This window comes from Homo sapiens, chromosome X (genome assembly GCF_000001405.40).
Source record: "Homo sapiens chromosome X, GRCh38.p14 Primary Assembly".
In the NCBI taxonomy this organism is placed as follows: Eukaryota; Metazoa; Chordata; class Mammalia; order Primates; family Hominidae; genus Homo; species Homo sapiens.
The window spans coordinates 15,278,363-15,300,978 of NC_000023.11; the positions used below are offsets into that span (position 1 = coordinate 15,278,363).

At 40.7% G+C, this 22,616-nt stretch overlaps 1 protein-coding gene across 3 annotated transcripts in view, besides 1 other annotated feature; it reads right to left on the reverse strand.

The window, feature by feature from the left end:
• Positions 3,335 to 22,616, reverse strand: part of ASB11 (ankyrin repeat and SOCS box containing 11) — a 33,944-nt gene continuing 14,662 nt past the window's right edge. For 2 of the 3 annotated variants that reach the window (NM_080873.3, NM_001012428.2), the window contains exons 3-7: positions 19,212 to 19,319; positions 14,808 to 14,958; positions 11,142 to 11,276; positions 9,519 to 9,710; positions 3,335 to 5,267 (exon numbers count right to left, since the gene is read on the reverse strand). In NM_080873.3, coding sequence (NP_543149.1) covers positions 5,143 to 5,267; positions 9,519 to 9,710; positions 11,142 to 11,276; positions 14,808 to 14,958; positions 19,212 to 19,319 — 711 coding nt within the window. In that variant the 3' untranslated portion in view covers positions 3,335 to 5,142. The remainder of the gene's footprint in view (positions 5,268 to 9,518; positions 9,711 to 11,141; positions 11,277 to 14,807; positions 14,959 to 19,211; positions 19,320 to 22,616) is intronic. The other variant, NM_001201583.2, reaches the window with a different exon arrangement.
• Positions 19,865 to 20,159: an enhancer, noted in NCBI's record as "tiled region #14330; HepG2 Activating non-DNase unmatched - State 23:Low, and K562 Activating non-DNase unmatched - State 22:ReprW". NCBI's record gives its function as "activates a minimal TATA promoter and a strong SV40 promoter by Sharpr-MPRA in HepG2 and K562 cells {active_cell/tissue: HepG2 | K562}" and the evidence as "EXISTENCE:reporter gene assay evidence [ECO:0000049][PMID:27701403]".

Here is a 22,616-nt window from a genome sequence, read left to right on the forward strand (position 1 = left end):
TGTAAGACATCGGCACCACTCTAGGATTCAGGGACCTGGACAATCAGATGGATTCTGGTGAATGGTTGTTCAGGATTTGAGTGCCACCTCCTCCCCCAACACAAATACAGTCCTACCAGTGTTGGGAGGTCCATATAAATGATTTGTGGCATCCATGGTCTGCAGTTGCAGTGGGCAATGGAACACTTCCCTGGGGTCACAGACTGGTTGAATGTCCTAGAGCCTCCCGGGGCTTAACACAGTACTCAGACATTCAGCAAGATCCCAGATGACAAAAAAAAAAAAAAAAAAAAATGCACTCGCGAGAACACTTTGAAGGAAAGCCTCCAATTCCTAAACGTTCTATGATAGGAAGAGACTGTCCGTTCTTTCCTCTTTGATCGTTCCATGGCTAATGATGGCTCAAATGGCTCCTCATCCTGTTTCAAATCCATCCTTTCTTTCAATCAATTTTCCATCTTTAACATTCTTATGACTATTTATTTGTATGTTATTTGATAAGTTTACTATTCATTCCCTTTGCTAATATTTCTATTCATGAACCTATATTATTCTTATTGGTTTGTAAATGAACTCTTTATATGTTGAAATGTAGATATCAGCTGAGATCATTCTGCCCTTCAATATTTGGGGCGCATTGAATTGTACCTCCTTTCATGGCCATTGGACTTACGCTGTACCTTCCTCAAGATTTGTGAAAATTGACTTTCCTAAGGTTTGCAAACACTCTTCAGTTTTTCTCGTCACATCTCTCATAGAAGGAGAATTTGATCCCACCTGAAACAGGTAAGTTTACATATTGTTTTGCCACCACGTCATGCAATACATATATTATAGCATGTAGAGCCAGATAAATAATCTAGGTTCTTTCCTTAATATCTTCTAAAAAATGCACAAGGTATCATATACATTTTAGACTTTACTGAAGGTTTGGGTAATATTTACATCCTTGTTCACCAAAATTCTCCACTGGGAAAAGGAGAAAGCTAAGGGTGGGATCTGACAGTCTCCTTTGCCCTAGAATATTGACTTTTGATCTGCTATAAATGTCACATACAGTTTTCCTCTATTTTGGTTTGCCATTTCATTTTATATATGGCATTTTTTGCAACATAATTTTTGGTGTATTCCAGTTTATCGGTATTTTCCTTTAACCTTTCTGCCTTTGATATATTTCAAAAATGCTTTCCCTTTCATGTATATTCATGTAATTTTCTTATAGTATTTTTATAGCAGTATTTAATTTTTTAAACTTTTTTTTAAAAACAAGATTTGTTTTGGAAATACGATGTAAGATCAAAATGTAACCTTTTCCCCCCAGATAATTAACTAATTAAGATTATTAGATATTCCAAAATTGTAAAAATCAGAAAATGATTTAGAGTACTGTTAATAGAAATGTAATGTGAGCCACACATGTAATGTAAAATGTTATTACAGTCACACTAAAAAAGTAAAAAGAAAGCCAGTGAAATTAATTTTAATAATATATTCTATTTAACCTAATATATTGAAAAGATTATTTCATTGTGTGATCAGCAAAAAAGTTTTTTCGTTTAATTTTATTTGGTATGTAATAACTGTATATATTTATGGGGTACAGAGTGATATTTTAATACCTAGAAGTAATCAAATCAGGGTGATTAGCATATCCATCACCTCAATCATTTATCATTTCTGCTATGAACATTCAAAATCTTCTCTTCTAGGTTTTCGAAAATACATAATAAATTATTGTTAACCACATTTACCCTACAGTGCTATGAAACACTAGAAATTATTTCTTCTATCCAATTATAATTTTGTATCCATTAACCAACATTGCCCTATTGTCCCCTCCTCACTACCCTTCCCAGCCTCTAATAAGCATAATTCTACTCTCTGTTTCTGTGAGCTCAATTTTTTTAGCTTCCACATGTAAGCAAGAACATATGGTGTTTATCTTTCTGTGCGTGACTTACTTAACATAATGTCCTCTAGGCTCATCCATGTTGCTGCAAATGACAGAATTTCCTTCTTTTTTAAGGCTGAATAGTATTTCATTTTGTATATATACCACATTTTCTTTATCCATTGATCTGTTGACAGACATTTAAGTTGATTTCATATCTTGCTTTTCTGAATAGAGCTACAATAAACATGGAGGTGCAACTACCTCTTCCATACATTGATTTCCTTTCTTTCTGATAAATATCCAGTAATGGGATTGCTGAATCATACTTGACAACAACAAAACAAATAATCTGATTTTAAAATGGGCAAAGGATCTGAATAGACATTTCTCCAAAAAAAAGACATACAAATGGCCAACAGGTATATGAAAGAATGCTCGACATCACTAATCATCAGGAAAATGCAAATCAAAACCACAATGAGGTATCATCTTACCCCAGTTAGAATGGCTATCCAAAAAATAGAAAATAACAAATGCTGGTGCAGATGTGGAGAAAAGGGAATTCTTATACACTATTGGTGGGAATGTAAATTACCACAACCACTATGGAAAACAGTATGGAAGTTTTCAAAAAATTAAAAATACAACATCAAAAGCTATTAATATTTCAAAACAAAAAAATAAAAAATAAAACAAAAAAAGAAGAGGCAGGTGGACCAGTTGAGGTCAGGAGTTTGAGACCAGCCTGGCCAACATGGTAAAACCCCATCTCTACTAAAAATACCGAAAATTAGCCGGGCATAGTGGCAGATGCCTGCAATCCCAGCTACTCCAGAGGCTGAGGCAGGAGAATCGCTTGAACCTGGGAGGCAGAGGTTGCAGTGAGCCGAGATCGTGCCATTGCACTCAAGCCTGGGTGACAAAAGCAAAACTTCGTCTCAAAAAAGAAAAGAAAAGAAAAAAGTTCATGTATTTCATATTCTTTTTTTTACTCAGTCATTAAAATGTAATATGTATTTTACACGTGCAACACATCTTAATTCAGCCTAGCCACAATTCCTGTGCTCATTAGCCATATGTGGCTAGTAGCTACCGTATTGAATAGCACAGGCTTAGAGGTTGCAATGAGCCAAGGTCATACCATTGCACTCGAGCCTGGATGACAAAAGTGAAACTCCGTCTAAAAAAGAAAACAAAACAAAGTTCATAATGTTTCATATTCTTTTTTTACTCAATCACTAAAATGTAATATGTATTTTACACTTACAACACATCTTAATTCAGCCTATCCACAATTCCTGTGCTCATTAGCCATATGTAGCTAGCAGCTACTGTATTGAATAGCACAGGCTTAGAGAAGGGTTTCTCACTCTTGGCACTATTGACATTTTGTACCTGATAATTCTTTTTTTTGTTTGTTTTTCTTTCTTTCTTTCTTTCTTTTTTTTTTTTTTGTTTTGAGACGGAGTCTCGCTCTGTCACCCAGGCTGGAGTGCAGTGGCGTGATCTTGGCTTACTGCAATCTCCGCCTCCCGGGTTCAAGTGATTCTCCTGCCTCAGCCTCCCAAGTAGCTGGGACTATAGGCACCTGCCACCACGCCTGGCTAACTTTTGTATTTTTAGTAGAGACAGGGTTTCACCATAGTGGCCAGGCGGTTCTCGAACTCCTGACAGTGCGATCTGCCTGCCTCGGCCTCCCAAAATGCTGGGATTACAGGCGTGAGCCACCATGCCCGGCCAGATCTGATAATTCTTTGTTGCTGGCTCCTGTGCACTGTAGGGTGATTAGCTGCATCCCTGATCTCCACCGTCTAGATGATAGTAGCAATTCTCCCCCAGTTGTTGCAACTAAACATGTCTGCAGACATTGACAAATGTCTCAGTGGGAGTGGGGCAAAATTGTCTCCAGTTGAGAGCCAAAGGTCTAGAAAAATTGGGGGAAAAAAAAACATGTGTGAAATGAGTCTTAGGATGATCTGAGAGGGAATTTTCATTTTAGAACTGAATACTGAACCATGACAGTAATACTTACAATAATTAAAAGTCTATCCAGTTCCCATGTTCTAAATTCACAAAAAAGAGAAAGAATAGAGGAAGAGGAGGGGTGACAGAAGGAGAGAGAAATGAGAAGAAGGAGAAGACAGAAAAGGAGAAGCCTCTTTTTATATACCTTTGTGCTTATTTTGGGCCCCTATCCACAGAAAAAAATATTGACCCAGCATTGAGCCCACTTTGGTGGCTGGCATCAGTATGTAATTATTTCAAAAACCCTGAGCATCTTGACTTTGAAAATAAGCCAGTGCTTGGGTTGCAACATGCCTCAGACAATGCCTGTGGGTTCAGGTTGTTGGGGACACCCAGTGTTCTCAATCCTAGAACTGCTTACTTCAAATAACAGCATTTAATATCAGAAGCAATAAGCAATAGATGCCAACCTCTGGGTGCACTGATCTCTTCCAAAGTCTCTCTTATCAACCAGGACCGCAGTAACTGGAAGCCTCAGTTAACTACAATGTTTCTGAAGTCCTTAACTTTATATATGTATATATATATAAAGTCTATATAAATATATATAACTTTATATATAAAGAACTTTGAAAACATATATATATAAGCTTTATACATATATTAAGGACTTTGAAAACATATATGAACTATATATATTAAGGACTTTGAAAACATTAAATATATGAGTGCATGTGTGTGTGTGTATATATATACGTATATATATATACGTATATGTATGTATATATATATACGTATATATATACAAAAAATCAAAATTATACCAGATTTATTCAAGGAAAGAAAGAAAAAAAGTGGGGAAGGGCTGAAGGAAGGAACTAAATCAAGAACATATCTTGGAATACCTAACATTTGTTATAATCTTATCCACCTGAATTTATATGTGTCTATACAATATTCAGAATGTTGACTTTTAGGTACAAGAAGATCCCGAATCATCAAAAAACAGCCTATTGTTTTCACTCTACTTCACAGTTCTTTTAAGTTTCTTAACAACAAGAGCTAAAAGCTAAATGGTTTCTACTTGCCCCTTGGTTAATGAGAACATTAAACTAACCAGGAGTTTCCACTCCTCAAGTGTTCTAGCTCATGGGGGATTTACTTCGACTGAGCTCATTTAAAGATACTAGGAGTCTAAGCTGTTGAGCTTCTACATTAGGTACTCTAGGTACAGCAGACAACAATCTGTGTCATTCCAAGTATCTTCCCAGGAACACTTAGGACTATTGGTATAGGAGGAATCGTTCGAGTGGCTCTGGCAGATGTAGCTTGTGGATGGCTTGATGACATGCTCGACCGAGACACTTCCGGACACACAGGCGGCAGAGCTGGGAAAGAGCAGGTGGGCCTGAGAGAGAAATAAAAATGGTGTTAACTTCATAGTGGTGGGAGGTGGGGTGGAAGGGGGAAATCAGAGAACTGGAAGAGGCGGAAATTTTCTAAAAGCAGAAGAGAAGCTGGATCTGTATAGGAACTATAGAATGAGGTAGCGGACACTAAATACAGACAGCAGATCCTGATTTGCCCCTCTGGAAGGGATGCATTTCTTTAAGTTAATCTTCCAATGGTACTTGGATTACCAATGTTGAAGAATGAAGCTAACCAGAGGCAAGTTAGGAATGAGGTGTGGGGTCTAAAGGGAATGCATCTCATTCATGTATTGAATGTGCCAATGAAAGTGATACACGGGGCCAGGCACGGTGGCTCACGCCTGTAATCCCAGCACTTTGGGAGGCCAAGGTGGGCGGATCACGAGGTCAGGAGATGGAGACCATCCTGGCTAACACGGTGAAACCCCGTGTCCACTAAAAATACAAAAAATTAGCCGGGTGTGGTGGCGGGTGCCTATAGTCCCAGCTACTCGGGAGGCTGAGGCAGGAGAATGGCGTGAACCCGGGAGGCGGAGCTTGCAGTGAGCCGAGATCGGGCCACTGCACTCCAGCCTGGGCGACAGAGCGAGACTCCGCCTCAAAAAAAAAAAAAAAAAAAGAAAGAAAGAAAGAAAGTAATACACTGGCCAAGGAGAAAATGCAAATGGAAGGACTGAACACGCAGGACTCCAAGACACAGCCACAGAACAGAGGGACAATACGGAAAGGGTGTCAGCGGGAAGTTCCACCTGCGTGGTGACAGAGGCAGTGTTAGGAGATGTGCCAGGGGCCAGATATTCAGCCCTCAAAGTACTCCTGGACCTACCGGCTCTAGCTGCCCATGAGGTGGTGCTGGCTGGGTCTCAACTTAAATCTGAAGAGGCCCTTTATTCTTGCAAGGATTCCAGCTCAATAGAGATCTGCAAGAAGGACTCAAGTCAGACCCTATTGTTCCCTGAAACTGAGTCTCATGGACTCTCAAGGAGTCTCACAGAATCATCATGCCCATGGCTTTGAATGGCTCTGAATCCTTAAGGAAAATCAGCTGATGAGAGTCCAGAATATGGTTGAATAGGATGAATGAGCTTTTGGCTGCAATACTAGTTGCACAGTCATTATTTCCTAACCTGACTGTTATCAGTAAAGATCTCTTCAAGAAAACCTAATTACTGGTCTACACAAAGTTTTCCTTTTCAAAAAAATCCACTGTAACAGCATCTCACACCCCATGAAAAATGATGGACTGCATATGCGAATAGCCAGGTTAACATTTGGCTTCACATTGCCAAGGAGCATCCATGAGATAGAAAGCTACCTGGAGGACCAAACAATCGATCTTAGTTAAAATCTTGGGAAGCAAGAATAGAAAACTTCTTTACCTGTTGTCCTACTTAACCTCCTCTGCAAAATGGTAATGTAGACAAATTGTCCAGTGCCCAGAGACACTGACAGGAGAGTGAACTCTGATGTAGTTGGTATTTAATCTTTCTTTTTTTTTTTTTTTTTTTTTGACAGAATCTCACTCGGTCGCCCAGGCTGAAATGCAGTGGTTCAATCTCAGCTCACTCCAACCTCTGCCTCCCGGGTTTAGGCAGTTCTCTGCCTCAGCCTCCCGGGTAGGTGGGATTACAGGCGGGTGCCACCAAACCCAGCTAATTTTTGTATTTTTAGTAGAGACGGGGTTTCACCATCTTAGCCAGGCTGGTCTTGAACTCCTGACCTCATGGTCTACCCGCCTGGGCCTCCCAAAGTGCTGGGATTACAGGTGTGAGCCACCGCGCCCAGCCAGTATTAATCTTTCTAGAGCAAGTGGCTATATTTATGAAGACAAAGGACAGAGGAGCTAGGCCCTGTCCAGGATATCCAGGTCTACAAATCCTAGTCCTAGAAACATTTTTGATGGAAGAAAATAGGAAATGTGAAAACTTCTATAAACTATAGTCTCTGCTAACAGTTGGAAAGTAGCTGGTATTTCCAAGCTCGGATCTGCTGAGGAAGATCATAATTCTTCTGGTGAAGATTCAAATAAAAGAACAATGATTAATGATCTAGACTATTGAAAATAATCCTGGCCAGGCGCGGTGGCTCACGCCTGAAATCCCTGCACTTTGGGAGGCTGAGGCGGGTGGATCACCTGAGGTCAGGAGTTCGAGACCAGCCTAGCCAACATGATGAAACCCCATCTCTACTAAAAATACAAAAAATTAGCTGGGCGTGGTGGCACGCGCCTGTAATCGCAGCTACTCAGGAGGCTGAAGCAGGAGAATTGCTTGAACCCGGGAGGCGGAGGTTGCAGTGAGCCGAGATCACGCCACTGCACTCCAGCCTGGGCAACAAGAGCAAAACTCCGTCTAAAATAATAATAATAATAATAACAATAATAATAATCTAGACCAGTGGTACGCAAAGTGTGGTCCTCAGACCAGCACCATCAACATCACGTGGGAGCCTGCTAGACATGCAGAGTCACAGGTCCCATCCTAGACCTCCTGAATGAGAATCTGTATTTTAAGGAAATCCTCAAGTGAACTGATATGCATGTTAAATCTTAAGAAGCACTGATTTAGAAAGACTATTCATAAAATGGTTAAAACCAAGCATTCTACTTGGAAGGTATATATGATGTAGTGGTTTCACAAAATGGAACTGGTGAGTGAAATAAGACCCTCCTCACTGAATGTTTCAAAAGATTCAGGGTTGGGGCCTTATGACATTAAGAGTGCACATTCTGATGGCCAGGTGCAGTGGCTCACACCTGTAATCCCAGCACTTTGGAAGGCTGAGGCGGGCGGATCACAATGTCAAGAGATCGAGACCATCCTGGCTAACATGGTGAAACCCCGTCTCTACTAAAAATACAAAAATTAGCTGGGTGTGGTGGTGCACGCCTGTAGTCCCAGCTACTCAGGAGGCTGAGGCAGAAAAATCGCTTGAACCCGGGAGGCAGAGGTTGCAGTGAGCCGAGATCGCACCACTGCACTCCAGCCTGGAGACAGAGTGAGACTCCATCTCAAAAAAAAAAAAAAAAAAAAAAGTGCACACTCTGGGGTCAGATGGCTCAGAATCCTACCTAATTCTATTATGTAGCTAGCTGTGTGACCTTGTCAATGCTTTTCTTTTCCCATTTGTACCTGGCATAGCAACCAGCTACTACCATATAAAGTTCCCACTGCTCTAAAGTTTTAAAAATTCAGTGAGCTTGATCTATGTTTCAAATTTAGCCCAGTGCCTGGCATACGTAGAGCTGAATAATTATAATTATCTTTAATATTCTTCAGGCACACAAATAATCAATATAGGCTCCGAAAATATTTTCTTACTGTATAGACATAAGAGGTTCTCTTCTGAATTGGTTCTCTTCTGAATTTCAGATGCTCGCCTTACCTCTTCTGGCATCAGTAGTTGCTCTTAATGCTCATGGTGGAAACGGGAATGAAGCAATGAAGAATGCAGACCCACCTACTCCCTGATCTGGAGAACAGGCAAACAACCTCACCATTTAGTCGGATTTCTGAAATACTCTGTGTCCTCCCCTACAGACTCTGACTCAAGTCTTTTGAATTTGCCATCAGATTGTCTCCCAATATTACAAAGCAGAGTTTTGGTTTGCTCAATCATACGCTTATGCCAGGACAGAAATGGAAATTCAAGATTTTCGGGGTATAAACAAGGTTTTCTGGTTTTCTTTTTTTTGAGACGGAGTCTCGCTCTGTCACCCAGGCTGGAATGCAGTGGTGTGATCTCTGCTCATCGCAACCTCCGCCTCCCAGGTTCAAGCGATTCTCCTGCCTCAGCCTCCCAAGTAGCTGGAACTACAGGCGCCAGCCACCACATCTGGCTAATTTCTGTATTTTTAGTAGAGACAGGATTTCACCATGCTGGCCAGGCTGGTCTCAAACTCCTGACCTTGTGATCCACCCGCCTCAGCCTCCCAAAGTGCTGGGATTACAGGCGTGAGCCACCACGCCCAGCCGGTTTTCTGGTTATTTTCTTGTTATATAAAATACAAAGCAACACTCTGGTTATAGGTAAATGCCCTTTGGTTGTTAGTGAATATACACAGCATATAAAATCCCAGAAGACAGGTCAGTGACGGCAGGGCCTATCACCTCCCACAATGCCACCTTCAATTAAAAAGAGAAAAGAAAAAGGAAAAAATGCTACAGATGAGACAGGAAGGGGAGAGAATGTGCTTATGGAAGAGGAATGGATACCCAGCCCTTGGTTACCTTCACGGAGCAAGAGTGCCTGCTCCACGCTGCTTTTTGGAGCCGCCAGATCAAGCGCACTTTTGCCCTGAGCATTTCTACGCTTCAGGTTAGCTCCATAGTCGGTTAGCAGGTGGATGACCTCCACATTGGACTGCCTCGCTGCAGCATGGAGTGGGGTGTCCAGCCACTGGCCATGGTCGACACTGGCTCCTTAACAAAACAGATGGCCACAATTCAACACTAAATGTAATGTAAAGCACAATGAGCTTCAAATATAGTCATTGCATATAAAGACATTTTAAGTACCATGACATACTTGACAAATGTTTGAAAATATGCAACTCAAGCCTAGAACCTCAGCAATGCCTACTAAGACTACTTGAAATTCTTTGGTGAGAAAAGTGAATTTAGATAGTTTTAGTCATTTTAAATACTTGCTTTCCCGTATAAACTGTGTGGCATACAAAATAAAGTATTTGAGGCTCCTGTTACATAGTTATTATGTTTTGGGACAAAAGATAAAGCTAAGTTTATTTAGTATTTATATTATTTGGGGCTCAAAAAATGATTTCTGAACTTACTATAGAGAATAGTAAATGATGGGAAATAAAAAAGACAAAAACTTCCTCAAGATAAAAATTCACAACTAAAGGTTTTTACTAAATCTCCACCTTTATGTCAGGGGCTAAGTTTGTTGAATCTTTAACCAAAGAATAGTTTCAAGATATTTCATTTTTCCGGCCGGGCACAGTGGCTCACACCTGTAATCCCAGCACTTTGGGAGACTGAGGAAGGTGGATCACCTGAGGTCAGGAGTTCGAGACCAGCCTGGCCAACATGGTAAAATCCTGTCTCTACTAAAAATACAATAAATTAGCCGGGTGTAGTGGTGTGCGTCTGTAATCCCAGCTACTCCGGCGGCTAGGGCAGGAGAATCGCTTAAACCCTGGAGGTGGAGGTTGCAGTGAGCTGAGGTCACGCCATTGCACTCCAACCTGGGCAATAAGAGCGAAACTTCATCTCAAAAAAAAAAAAGATATTTCATTTTTCCACGGACTCTTGGTTTCTGTATATGCCTTTTAGAATTGCTTTTAAAATGACTAGATACTGTAGCAGGATAGATATAAACTAGCCTGTAGCAAATGTCTGTTTTTACCGTCCAGCATCTTCCTGGCAAGCATACCTAGATTTCCCAAAGGTAAACCACCCTCTTGTTAGTTTCAGTTCTCGTGTTTCCAGTGAAGCCTAATAAATGCAGAGTAGGCTGAAATCTAGGCCTAAACTAATCAATATATTGTATTCCCTTGGCCCCCATGAGGGGTTCAAAGATGGGCATGTGACTTAAAAAGAGCCAATGCTCTTTCTTGCTGCGTATGGATAAGGAGGGCTGTAAGCCCAGGTATTGCTGGCAGCTATCTTGTGACAACCAGGGAGAACAATACCAGGTAAATGGAGTTAACATCAAAGGAAGCAGGACTGAGAAATACAGACACTCATTTCTCTAGAGAAGTTTTGTTTTTAGCATTCAAACATAAAATGCTAACCGAATATTTTTCAACCATGACAAGAACTTCATCTTTGAAGCTGTAGAAAATCAACAAAGTTAACAGGTTTCTTCATGAAAATAATTTTGGAAATTACCTAATTCTAGAAGTTTCTTCACACAGTCTACCCTCTGGTAGGTGCAGGCCACATATAGGGGAGTTCCGAGCTGAGGCACCTCATGGTCAATGTTAACATTATTTGCCAGCAGGATCTCCATGCACTCTCTGTGACCTGGTGGAACACAAGATACCCTCACTCAAGTAAGGGACATATTAAATATTAACAGAATTATAGGATTGCTTATCTGAAATGGGCTTTAGAAATAACCTAGGTTGGCCGGGTGTGGTGGCTCACGCCTGTAATCTCAGCTTTTTGGGAGGCTGAGACCGGCGGATTCCCTGAGGTCAGGAGTTCGAGACCAGCCTGGCCAACATGGTGAAACCCCATCTCTACTAAAAATACAAAAATTAGCTGGGCATGGTGGCACACACCCATAATCCCAGCTACTCGGGAAGCTGAGGCAGGAGAATCACTTGAACCGGGGAGGAGGAGGTTACAGTGAGCCGAGATAGCGCCACTGCACTCCAGCCTGGCCGACAAAGCGAGACTCTGTCTCAAAATAAATAAATAAATAAATTAATTAAATAACCTAGATCTCTTTTTGTAGCATAAAAACATTTTTGTGTTTGTTTTTGGAAATCTTAGGTAGAAACCACCAAAATAATACCAATAAAAAGAGGAGCATGCCCATGCTTCCCCACTCCAGCTCCTCTTTACAGCCCAAGTTAACTTTAACTGAACTAAGGGCTCCAAGTAGCACAGTTGAAATCACTCTCCAGAATGATGCCACCATTTTACAAATGGAAGTGACAAGACCCAGAGGGACAAACGACTAGGCCTATTATTACTCTGAAAAGCTAGTGCTCAAACCCAAGAGAACCCTGTCGCCTCTCCATTACAAATCTCTCATTCTCTTCTTTATCCATGCATGTGAGATTGGATATATGGCCTGCAACAGTACTTTGGTTAGTCTGAAAAATACCTATGAGAAAGAATAAAGAAGTCTTAAGTATAGAATATATTTAAATACACTTTCATATTCAGTGGCTAACAACAACTATGTAAGCAAGCATTCTCTTTTGAGAGTTTGCCCAATAAATAGATAGACATGATAAATTTGCAACCTGTGAATGCTTTGTTCAGGAGAGAGTGCTTCTGAGGTATTGATGGGAGCTTGCAAAGAGTTAGTTCTCTTTGAAGATTTAAATATCTCCCTAAAAAATCATGTCATTACTAATTAATTTAGCCAACCTATTTTTTGTAGATAACATAAAAGTAAGCTTCATTTTAGACCTACCTGATTTATCACAAATTCTAAATTAAGTATAAATATGCATTAAAATGTACAAATCAGGACTGTCAATTCAAACTATTTGTTCACATAATTAAATATTATACCTGAATTACAGCATCAATATGTCAAGGTATTGACTCAAACTATGACTCAGCTTGTTCATAGAGGTTTAGAGCTATAAGAATCCAGAAATAATATCTAGTAAGTCCCTAAAACTACTTGGAAAATACAGGGTATTTAATACATATTTTTGAATAATTCTTGTCTTTTTTTTGAAGAACAAGAAACAGCCTAGTTTGAGTTAAATTTAAATATTCTCAGAAAGTTTTAAAAATGAATACAGAAAAGTTAAATAGCTAGCACTAATACAAGTGTATAAAATAATGAATTTGCTAATCATGCTTACATTCTGTGGATATTTATCCTTAACATGCTTTTACAGTACAGAAAAATATACAGAGACACACAAATTATGTGTTTATTATGAGCATATATATGTTTTATAGGCACATAGATACCAAAAGCTCCAAATATAATCAGTCAAGCACTGCAGACATACTTAATTAATTCAAACCATTCTCAGTACTTATCAATTTTTAAACATTTGTATGGAAATACAAATAATATTAATTTTTACTTCAAAAATTTACTTCAAATCAATATTAAATTTTTAATAAAGACTTTTTGTAATACCAGCACTTTGGAAGGCTGAGGTGGGTGGATCACCTGAGGTCAGGAGTCTGAGACCAGCCTGGCCAACATGATGAAACCCTGTCTTTACTAAAAAATACAAAAATCAGCTGGGCACTGTGACAGGTGCCTGTAATCTCAGCTACGTGGGAGGCTGAGGCAGGAGAATTGCTTGAACCCAGGAGGTGGAGGTTGCAGTGAGCCGAGATTGTGCCATTGCACTCCAGCCTGTGAGACAGAGCAAGACTCTGTCTCAAAAAATAAAAAAAAAATTTAAAAAAATTAAAAAAAAAAGACTTATATGGCTGAGCACGGTGGCTCATGCCTGTAATACCAGCACTTTGGGAGGCCGAGTCAGGTGGATCACCTGAGGTCGAGTTCGAGACCAGAGTGGCCAACATGGTGAAACCCCATCTCTACTAAAAATACAAAAATTAGCCAATTGTGGTGGCGGGCACCTGTAATCCCAGCTACTTGGGAGGCTGAGGCAGGAGAATCGCTTGAACCCAGGAGCCAGAGGTTGCAATGAGCAGAAATCATGCCACTGCACTGCAGCCTGGGCAACAGCACGAGACTCTGTCGAAAAAAAAAAAAAAAAGAAAGAAAGACATTTATATCATTTCCAAAGTAGTTCATTACTCTACAACTTAAAGGACTTACATGATGTTTGGGAAATGACTAACATCAGCTATTAATTAATAAATATGTATTAAATACATTTAGAACATAAAATACATAGATAAATTTAGATTTGGGTCTTTTGCATCATTTAAAGTAATCCACTGGAAAAAATTGGCAAGTGACATGTTTAATAACCTGGAACAAATCTTTCACTTTTGCTTTTTGAAATAAAATATTTCATCTCCAGTTACACCAGCAAAGATCACTATTCTAGAGTGTTTTAACTTCACCATTGTATTTCTGATCTCAGTATAAGAGAACAACTCCCTCACTTGCTATCATCAAAATGTTGCTCTTTGGGTGTGACCTTTGACAAATGGCCTTCTCCTTTCAGTGGCATCTTCTCGGTTCAGGTCTAGTCTGTACATACAGTCTTTAAATTCCTTAAATTTACTATTTTCCTTCACTTGGAAATTAACTGACAACACAGGAGTCTAGAGTCAGCTTCAAGATTACCAATGCTATACTTTGGAAAGTTGCAGCCTTTTCTTTTCAATAACTATGACCTTGAAGTCATCAGCCCATCTAGATTGTGTAACTTATTATGAACGGTTATATTTACTATTCCATTAGAGATAGTATCAGCCTTGGCTTTCAGATACTTTCATAGTTTATTTTAGGTTAGTGGTTGGTATTTTATGGGCTTTAGAGGATAAGCTATTCTTGCCTACTAAGGACAGAGACATAAGCATAGTACAATTCAGGGAAGTCAGAACTACTGCCTTGGCTGTACCAGCTGCCACCAAAACACCAGCAAAGAGGATCTGGAAAGGCCTGCCAATAGACCATCCCCAGGAAATGGGAAATTGGAGTCAGGAAAGCATTCCGAAGTTATAAGTAGGGCTCTTTTGTGCCACACTGGTATTTCCTGAAGATTTAGGCAAATTGAAGTTACTGCTGTGGGATTTCTAGGCCACACATATTCTAATGGTGAGGAAGATCAGGGTCACCCTTGAATGACTAACACTAGACCATTGATTCATACAGATTGGAGTGAGCCCATCAATGTTTCACATGCATTGTGGTGGCTCATTTACCTCTCTTCACTGCCTCATGGATGGGCGAGGCCAGGTGCACCTCCAACTGGGCCTTGGCTCCGAACTCCAGCAGCACATTGACACATGCAGCACTGCCGCTGCAGCAAGCATTGAAGAGGGGTGTGGCTCCGTGAACTGTCACTCCATTGACCTAATGATGGGCAAAGAGAGACCCAAAGGATTTGTTATTTCATTCTCACCATCTCCAAGTATGTCTTCCTATGTATTTGCCTAGAGGAATTCCCCACGCTGGTGAATAAGTGAGGGAACTCCACATCTTTACAGTATTATGAAACCTCATGAAGTTATTGGGTGGATCGAGCGAGTTACTATATGTAAACACTTAAAACATTACATGTCACCCAGTAAGCACTCAATAAGCATTTGCAACAACAATTATTTCCATTTTCCATTTTCCATTAATATGACTCCCCTCTGAATCATGAACAAACATGGCAGGCTGTGGTCCCAAAATCCATGCTTACAAAATCCTTGGCAATTCTCCACAGATCTACTGTCTTTCTTGCCACAACTTCCTCTCTGGTCTACTATAATCCATGCAAATTACACATGCCAGCTGTTACTTCTAGAGATAGCATGACCAAGCCAAAGGGACATAGAAAATAGCCATCAACATTTTCTTAATCCAGTCTATCATTGTTGGACATTTGGGTTGGTTTCACAGGAAGGGGAACATCACACACCGGGGACTGTTGTGGGGTGGGGGGAGGGGGGAGGGATAGCATTAGGATGTAAATGACGAGTTAATGGGTGCAGCACACCAACATGGCACATGTATACATATGTAACAAACCTGCACGTTGTGCACATGTACTCTAAAACTTAAAGTATAATAAAAAATAAAAATAAAAATAAATAAATAAAATTAAAAGATTAAATTTAAAAAAAGGAAAGAAAATAGCCATCAACATGGTGTCTGCAACCATCTTTGGTACCTTGTAGGGATGTGGGAAGCACATGAGAACCAGCAGGGCTGGGAGACATCTTTGTGTATCAGCAATAGATTGGAAAGAACATCGGGAACCGCAGGAGTGGTAGGGAGCCTCTGATGCCATTGAAATATAGGACAGTCAAGTTTGTGATGTGAAACAATTTTGCTTCAACAACTAAGGATGCATGCTTGTGATAATCAGGATTCTAAATGTCCTTGCTTTGGACACAAAAAAAGACTTGTTTCCAGAGTTGCAATATAACCCGTGAAACAGGGTCTTGCTCTGCTATCCAGGCTGGAGTGCAGTGTCATGATCATAGCTCACTGCAGCCTCGAATTCCTAGGCTCAAATGATCCTCCTGCCTCAGCCTCCTGAGCAGCTGGGACTACAGGCGTGCACCACCATGACCCACAAATTTAGAAAAATTATTTGTAGACAGCGTCTAGCTATCTTGCCCAGGCTGGTCTCAAACTCCTGGGTTCAAATGACCCTCCTGCCTCAGCCTGCCAAAGGGCAGGGATTACAGGTGTGAGCCACCACACCCAGCCTAACCCCCATTAAATTGGAAAGTTAAAGATAATATGCTAAGATGGCAGAGACAGACAAGGTCAGGGGAAAATGTGTGTAAATTTATATTGCTAGGGGTTTCTATATTTTTACTAAAAAATATTTGGTAGGACTAGTTTGATTTGTGTTTTACTAAGTTTCATCCTCACCCTCAGTCTAGGAAGTTGTCTTCTTATGCGATTTCCTATAAATTTCTCTTAGTTCACGTCAACAAACATTTATTGAGCATCTACTAGGTGCTAATGTTTTGGAAACAATGATAAGACAATTGCCTCTCCTTGAGTGGGCTGAACAATTGCCTCTCCTTGAGTAGGCTGAATTCCATTAGGGAAGACAAATACAAAAAGAATTTTTTTTAATTTTTTTATTTTTTAGATGGAGTCTTGCTCTGTTGCCAGGCTGGAGTGCAGTGGTGTGATCTCGGCTCACTGCAACCTCCGCCTCCTGGGTTCAAGAGATTCTGCTGCCTTAGGCTCCCAAGAAGCTGGGACTACAGGCGCGTGCCACCATGCCTAGCTAGTTTTTGTATTTTTAGTAGAGACGGGGTTTCACCATGTTGGCCAGGATGGTCTTGATCTCTTGATCTCATGATCTACCTGCCTCAGCCTCCCAAAGTGCTGGGATTACAGGCGTGAGCCACTGTGCCTGGCCAAAAAGAAATCATTTTGAAAATATAATAAATAATTTAGATGACTATGGGAGTAGGATAAAGGAGAGGATAGACTTGGGAAAAACTTAGAAAGTAAAATTAGCAGGAGTTTTTAATTAATTAGATAGGGAGATGAAAGAAATAAGATGACTCTCAGGTTTGCAGCTTGGGAAACCAAGAGGATGTTTCTTTCACCAGGCCTCTGAAACTAGGAACCCAAGATGAGGAGCAGGTCCCAGAGGGAAGAACATGATAAGCTCAGTTACAAATGCACTGAGTTTGAGGTATTCATGGGACTGCCAATTGTGGGGGACTTTCTACTGATGGACCAACTTTCTCTTATTTCGTTTCTCATTCTGATTTAAATGTTAAATGGTGTGCTACAGTATTTATTGGCTGTTTCTTTATAAAATTGACAAAGACAAGGAAACATGTCTTATTCTTCTCTTTGTGCCCAACAAAACCTCCTCTCTGACCTGATATTGTCAGCAGTCTGCCTGTGACTCCAGTCATCTAGCTTGAAAGGAAACGGCTCTCACACAGCCTTCCTTCATCATTACCCATGAGCTGACTGAGTGGTAACTTAGAGAAGCACTACCTAATGAAAATGCATGACCACTTGGCAGGGCACGGTGGCTCACGCCTGTAATCCCAGCACTTTGGGAGGCCAAGGCGGGCGGATCACCTGAGGTCAGGAGTCTGAAACCAGCATCGCTGGTTTCACTAAAAATACAAAAATTACTGCACTAAAAATACAAAAATTAGCTGGACGTGGTGGCGGGCACCTGTAATCCCAGTTACTCAGGAGGCTGAGGCAGGGGAATCGTTCGAATCTAGGAAGTGGAGTTTGCAGTGAGCTGAGATTGTGCCACTGCACTCCAGCTTGGGCAACAGTGTTAGTGAGACTCTGTCTAAAAATAAAAAGATGGAAAAAAAAAAAACAAAAAAAGAAAATGCACGACCACAATGGCATCAGGAAAATTAGTTTTCACAAGGAAGACTTTTATATTCAGTTCTACATGTAGAAACCCGATTTCCATATAAAATGTTTTAAATTGTCATTAAGCACTTAAAAACATTGCAGCTCATAAAGTAAATAATGCAAGGACTGAGTTAAACAACAAAATTAGAAACAAAGAACATCTGGCAACTAAACACAGAAGATTTTTAGAAGTTGTGATTTTATGATTCTATTCTGATATCTGTATTATATATTGCACCTCAGTCACCCTTTGAAAAAAGTTTGGAGATAAATTTAAAATAAGATAAAGTTCAATTCTGTAGGTTTCCCCCAATGTATTATTTATTAAAAGCTCGCTCATTTTGATAATTTTGCTCAATAAAAATAGTTGTTCATTTAAGGTGTTGAATTAAGAGTGTTTTCTATTGTTCTTTAAAATCTTGTTATTAAGCCTCATACAGTGTTAGTGGGATTATAAATTAGTACAACCATTATGGGGAACAGTTTGGAGGTTCATCAGAAAACTAAAAACAGAGATACCATATGATCCAACAATCTTACTGCTGGGTATATACCCAGAAGAAAGGAAAACAGTATATCCAAGAGATATCTGCACTCCCATGTCTGATGCAGCACTGTTCACAATTGCAAAGACCTGAAAGCAACCCAAGTGTCCACCAACAGATGAATGCATAAAGAAAACATGGTACAAGGCCGGGCGCGGTGGCTCACGCCTGTAATCCCAGCACTTTGGGAGGCCGAGGCAGGTGGATCACAAGGTCAGGAGATCAAGACCATCCTGGCTAACACAGTGAAACTCTGTCTCTACTAAAAATACAAAAATTAGCCGGGCGTGGCGGCGTGTGCCTGTAGTCCCAGCTGCTGGGGAGGCTGAGGCAGGAGAATGGCGTGAACCCCGGCAGAGCTTGCAGTGAGCGGAGATTGTGCCACTGCACTCCAGCCTGGGCGACAGAGTGAGACTCCGTCTCAAAAACAAAACAAAACAAAACAAAAAAAAAACATGGTACAATAAAGATTTCTTAAGGTCAGCAACACAGTTTTAAAAGGTTCCTGTGAGTTGCCATGTCTGAATATTTACACACAGGGGGGTAAGTTGAAGAGAGAGGAGTAGCCTAAATGATGGAATACGGACATGGATAGAACCAGCCCAGCCCTTACCCACAGTGGGTAAGCCATCTGGAAGGTAAACTATCATTAAACATTAACAGATGCATCTGGCCAGACAGACCCAAGTGGGCAGGGGCAGTACTCACGTGTGCACCATTTTCCAATAAGGCTTTGGCACAGGCCACGTGACCTCCAAGGCATGCCTCGTGGAGAGAAGACACCCGGTTAATTGTCACAAGGTTCACATTGACACCCTATAATTTAGAAAGAAGAGAGTTTATTTATTTTTTACAGACTGGGGTCTCACTGTGTTGCCCAGGCTGGTCTCAAACTCCTGGCCTCAAGTGATCTTCCTGCCTCAGCATCCTGAGTAGCTGGGATTTCAAGTGCAAGCCACCAAGCCCAGCAGAAGAGAGTGAAATACTGCATTAGTGATAGCAATGAAAGCAATGTTGTTTCACATGTTTCTGACATTTTCACAGTCTGTGGGTGTAATATTAGTACCATAGAGAGAGAAGTAGAAGTTACGATCAGGGGAGCCTAAAGACAGCATGACAGCCTCACATTCATTTATCCAAAAGAATGTTAATTCTGCATTCTGGAGCAGGTAATGTACTAGGACCTGGGTCTTCAAAACTTATGACATGGGTCTCTCTTCTCCCAGAGCCTACTGGGGAGGCAGAAATGAAAGACAAAAGAGCAAGAATATTGCTATACTGGAAGCATGTCCAAAATTAGTTTGGGAGCATAGGATATCCTTGAATCTGGCTTGGGGAGTAAGAAAAACCTTGCAAATGAGGTAGTATTTAGCTAAGACTTGAAGCATAAAATGTTTCAAGCTGTGAAGACCAAGAAAGAGTATGCCATTAGGAGAGAATAGAAACTGCAAATTCAGGAAGCAACAGGAAGTTATTTCCTGTTGCTTCCTGTTGCTTCCTGTGGCAGGGCCACAGTCGGATTTCTGGAACAGAAAGAACCCACAGAAAGTAGAAGCAGGAGATGGGAGGAGACAAAGGAGGACAGTAAGCTGGAGCTAGGTCATGAAAGGCCTTGATTTCCAAACAAGGAGGGCATGTCTTAGAGGAAATGGAGCACCTATGAAGTCTGCTAGGCTGCGGAGGGTCTGGAGCTAATAGATTAGCCTTTTTAGAAGCTTACTGGTAGCAGCATGGAGGGTTGATTGCAGGAGTAGGGATGTAAGACCAAAGCAAGGAGAGCCACAGAGATGTCACTATGAGTCTAGGAACAGGCTGGCATGGGCCTGCTGTGGCTGTGAATAACAGTAGGTATGAGGTATAGATGATGGAGTGCAGACAAGTTCAGGAGGTCGAGCTGGATCTGAAACAAAACAATAACTCCCAGGCTTAAGAGTAAGTAGACTGTGCTCCTAGGATTCATGTGCTGTGGAGTAGCAGCACTGCTTCAGCCATGACTCCACTGTGTGCAGAGGTCTCTGAAGTCCTAGAGTCCGGGGCCAGCGGACTTCTCCTAACCTTCATCTCCTCACCCAGGTATGAGTGCCTCCACCCTGTCCTAACACATTCTCCCTCCCCATACTACCATGTGTCCCCTTCCTTGTCCTGGACTCCATGTGACAGATGACAAGGTCAGCCTAGCTGCTGGACAACTCTGACTTCATAACCTGATTTTAACAACTTGGCTCTTACCATTTCCCTCCCTCTGATGATCACGTTCTATCTGCAAAAGTGTTGACAAAAACAGTCAAACTATAAAATATTTGAAGAGATTTATTCTGAGCCAAATATAAGTGACCAATGGCCTGTGACAAGCTCTCAGGAGATCCAGAGAACATGTGCCCAGGGTAGTCAGGGCACAGCCTAGTTTTATACATTTTAGGGAAACATGAGACATCAATCAAATACATGTAAAATGTACATTTGTTTGGCCTGGGAAGGTTGGACAACTCAAAGTGGGGGCCTGGGGCTCCAGATTATAGACAGATTGAAAATTTTTCTGATTGGCAATTGGTTGAAAGAGTTATTATCAATAGAAATGTCTGTCTGGGTTACAATAAGGGGTTGTGGAGACAAAAGTTTTATCATGTGGATGAAGCCTCCAGGTAGCAGGCTTCAGAGAGAATAGATTGTAAATGTTTCTTATCAGACTTAAGGTCTGTGTTGATGTTAAATTCTGGTCATCTTTTCCTGAGTTCCAAAAGGGAGGAGGGTATAATGAGGCATGTTCAACCCCCCTTTCCTGTCATGGCCTGAACCAGTTTTTCAGGTTAGTTTTGGAATGCCCTGGCTGAGAGGAGGGGTACATTCAGATGGTTGGAGAGGGGGTGCTTAGAATTTTATTTTTGATTTATAAAAGGAATTAGGTCCCTGGTCTGTCCTTCCCAGCCGAGTCCTGCTTTTGATCCTATGCCTTGTAACTGACCAACTGAAAGCTTCCAAAACCCAATGCCATGACCCTGAACCCCGAACTCCTACTTACACGGCCACCATCTCCTGCCAGATCTCTGGCTGCATCCTTGCTGTGGCCAGCAGCTGTGATTTCCCAGAATTGTCCCTTCATCATAAGGCCTCTTTTTGACTCCTGAATTCTGTCTATTTTCATGTCCTGAATATGACATCATTACTCTAGATCTGTGCTACATATTTCAAACTGGGCATCTAATAAGAGTTAGAAAAAGTCTTTTCATTTTTCTTTTCCTTTTGAGAAAATAAGAAAAAACAGACTAGTCCACAAGGTGGCAGAAGTGTGCTAGAAAAAACTGTTACGGTGCAAAATCTCAGAATCCCTGAAATTGTAGAAATGTGATGCTGGAAAGGCCTGAAAGATCATCTAGAGTGGATCACCTCAATTGTGCATGAGAAAATGGAGGAGTAGAATGTTCAAATACTTTTTAAGACTGGTTGTCAGTGACAGCCAGCAGTGTAACCAAGAGCTCCTGAATCTTGGTTTAATGTTTTACTCACATTTACTCACATTAGCTTAATGTTTTACTCATATCGGTTTAATGTTTTACTCACATCGATCATATTATCTAAATGTAAAATAAAGTTTATAAAAGTAGACAAATACATTTTTTAACAGTGTATAAGAGTAAAGAAGTAGGGGTGTAAAAGAAAAAGTTGAACTTTTGTATAAAGAATGCCCCCTTACACATTTAACCATATTATTGAAGCTAATATGCTTATTAAGTATAGTTAGTGCAATGTGGGATCCTGGAACAGAAATAGGACATGAGAGGAAAAACTGGTGAAATCACAATAGTGTGCAGTTTAGTCAGTGGTATTGTATCAATGTTAACTTCGTATTTTTGACTAATGTACCATAGCTATGTAAGATGTCAATATTAAAGGAAGTTGGGTGAAGGGTACAGTGTATATGGGAACTGTCTGTATCCTTTTCAACTCTTCTTTAAAATTATACAAAAATTTAAAAAGCCTATTAAAAATATACCAATGAAAGTATTGAGGTGGGAGACTGAGAGAGAAGAGGTGGGTGGGAGACTGAGAGAGAAGAGGTGGGTGCAAGACGTTTCATTGTGCACCTTTTTAATTTTATTTATTTATTTATTTTAT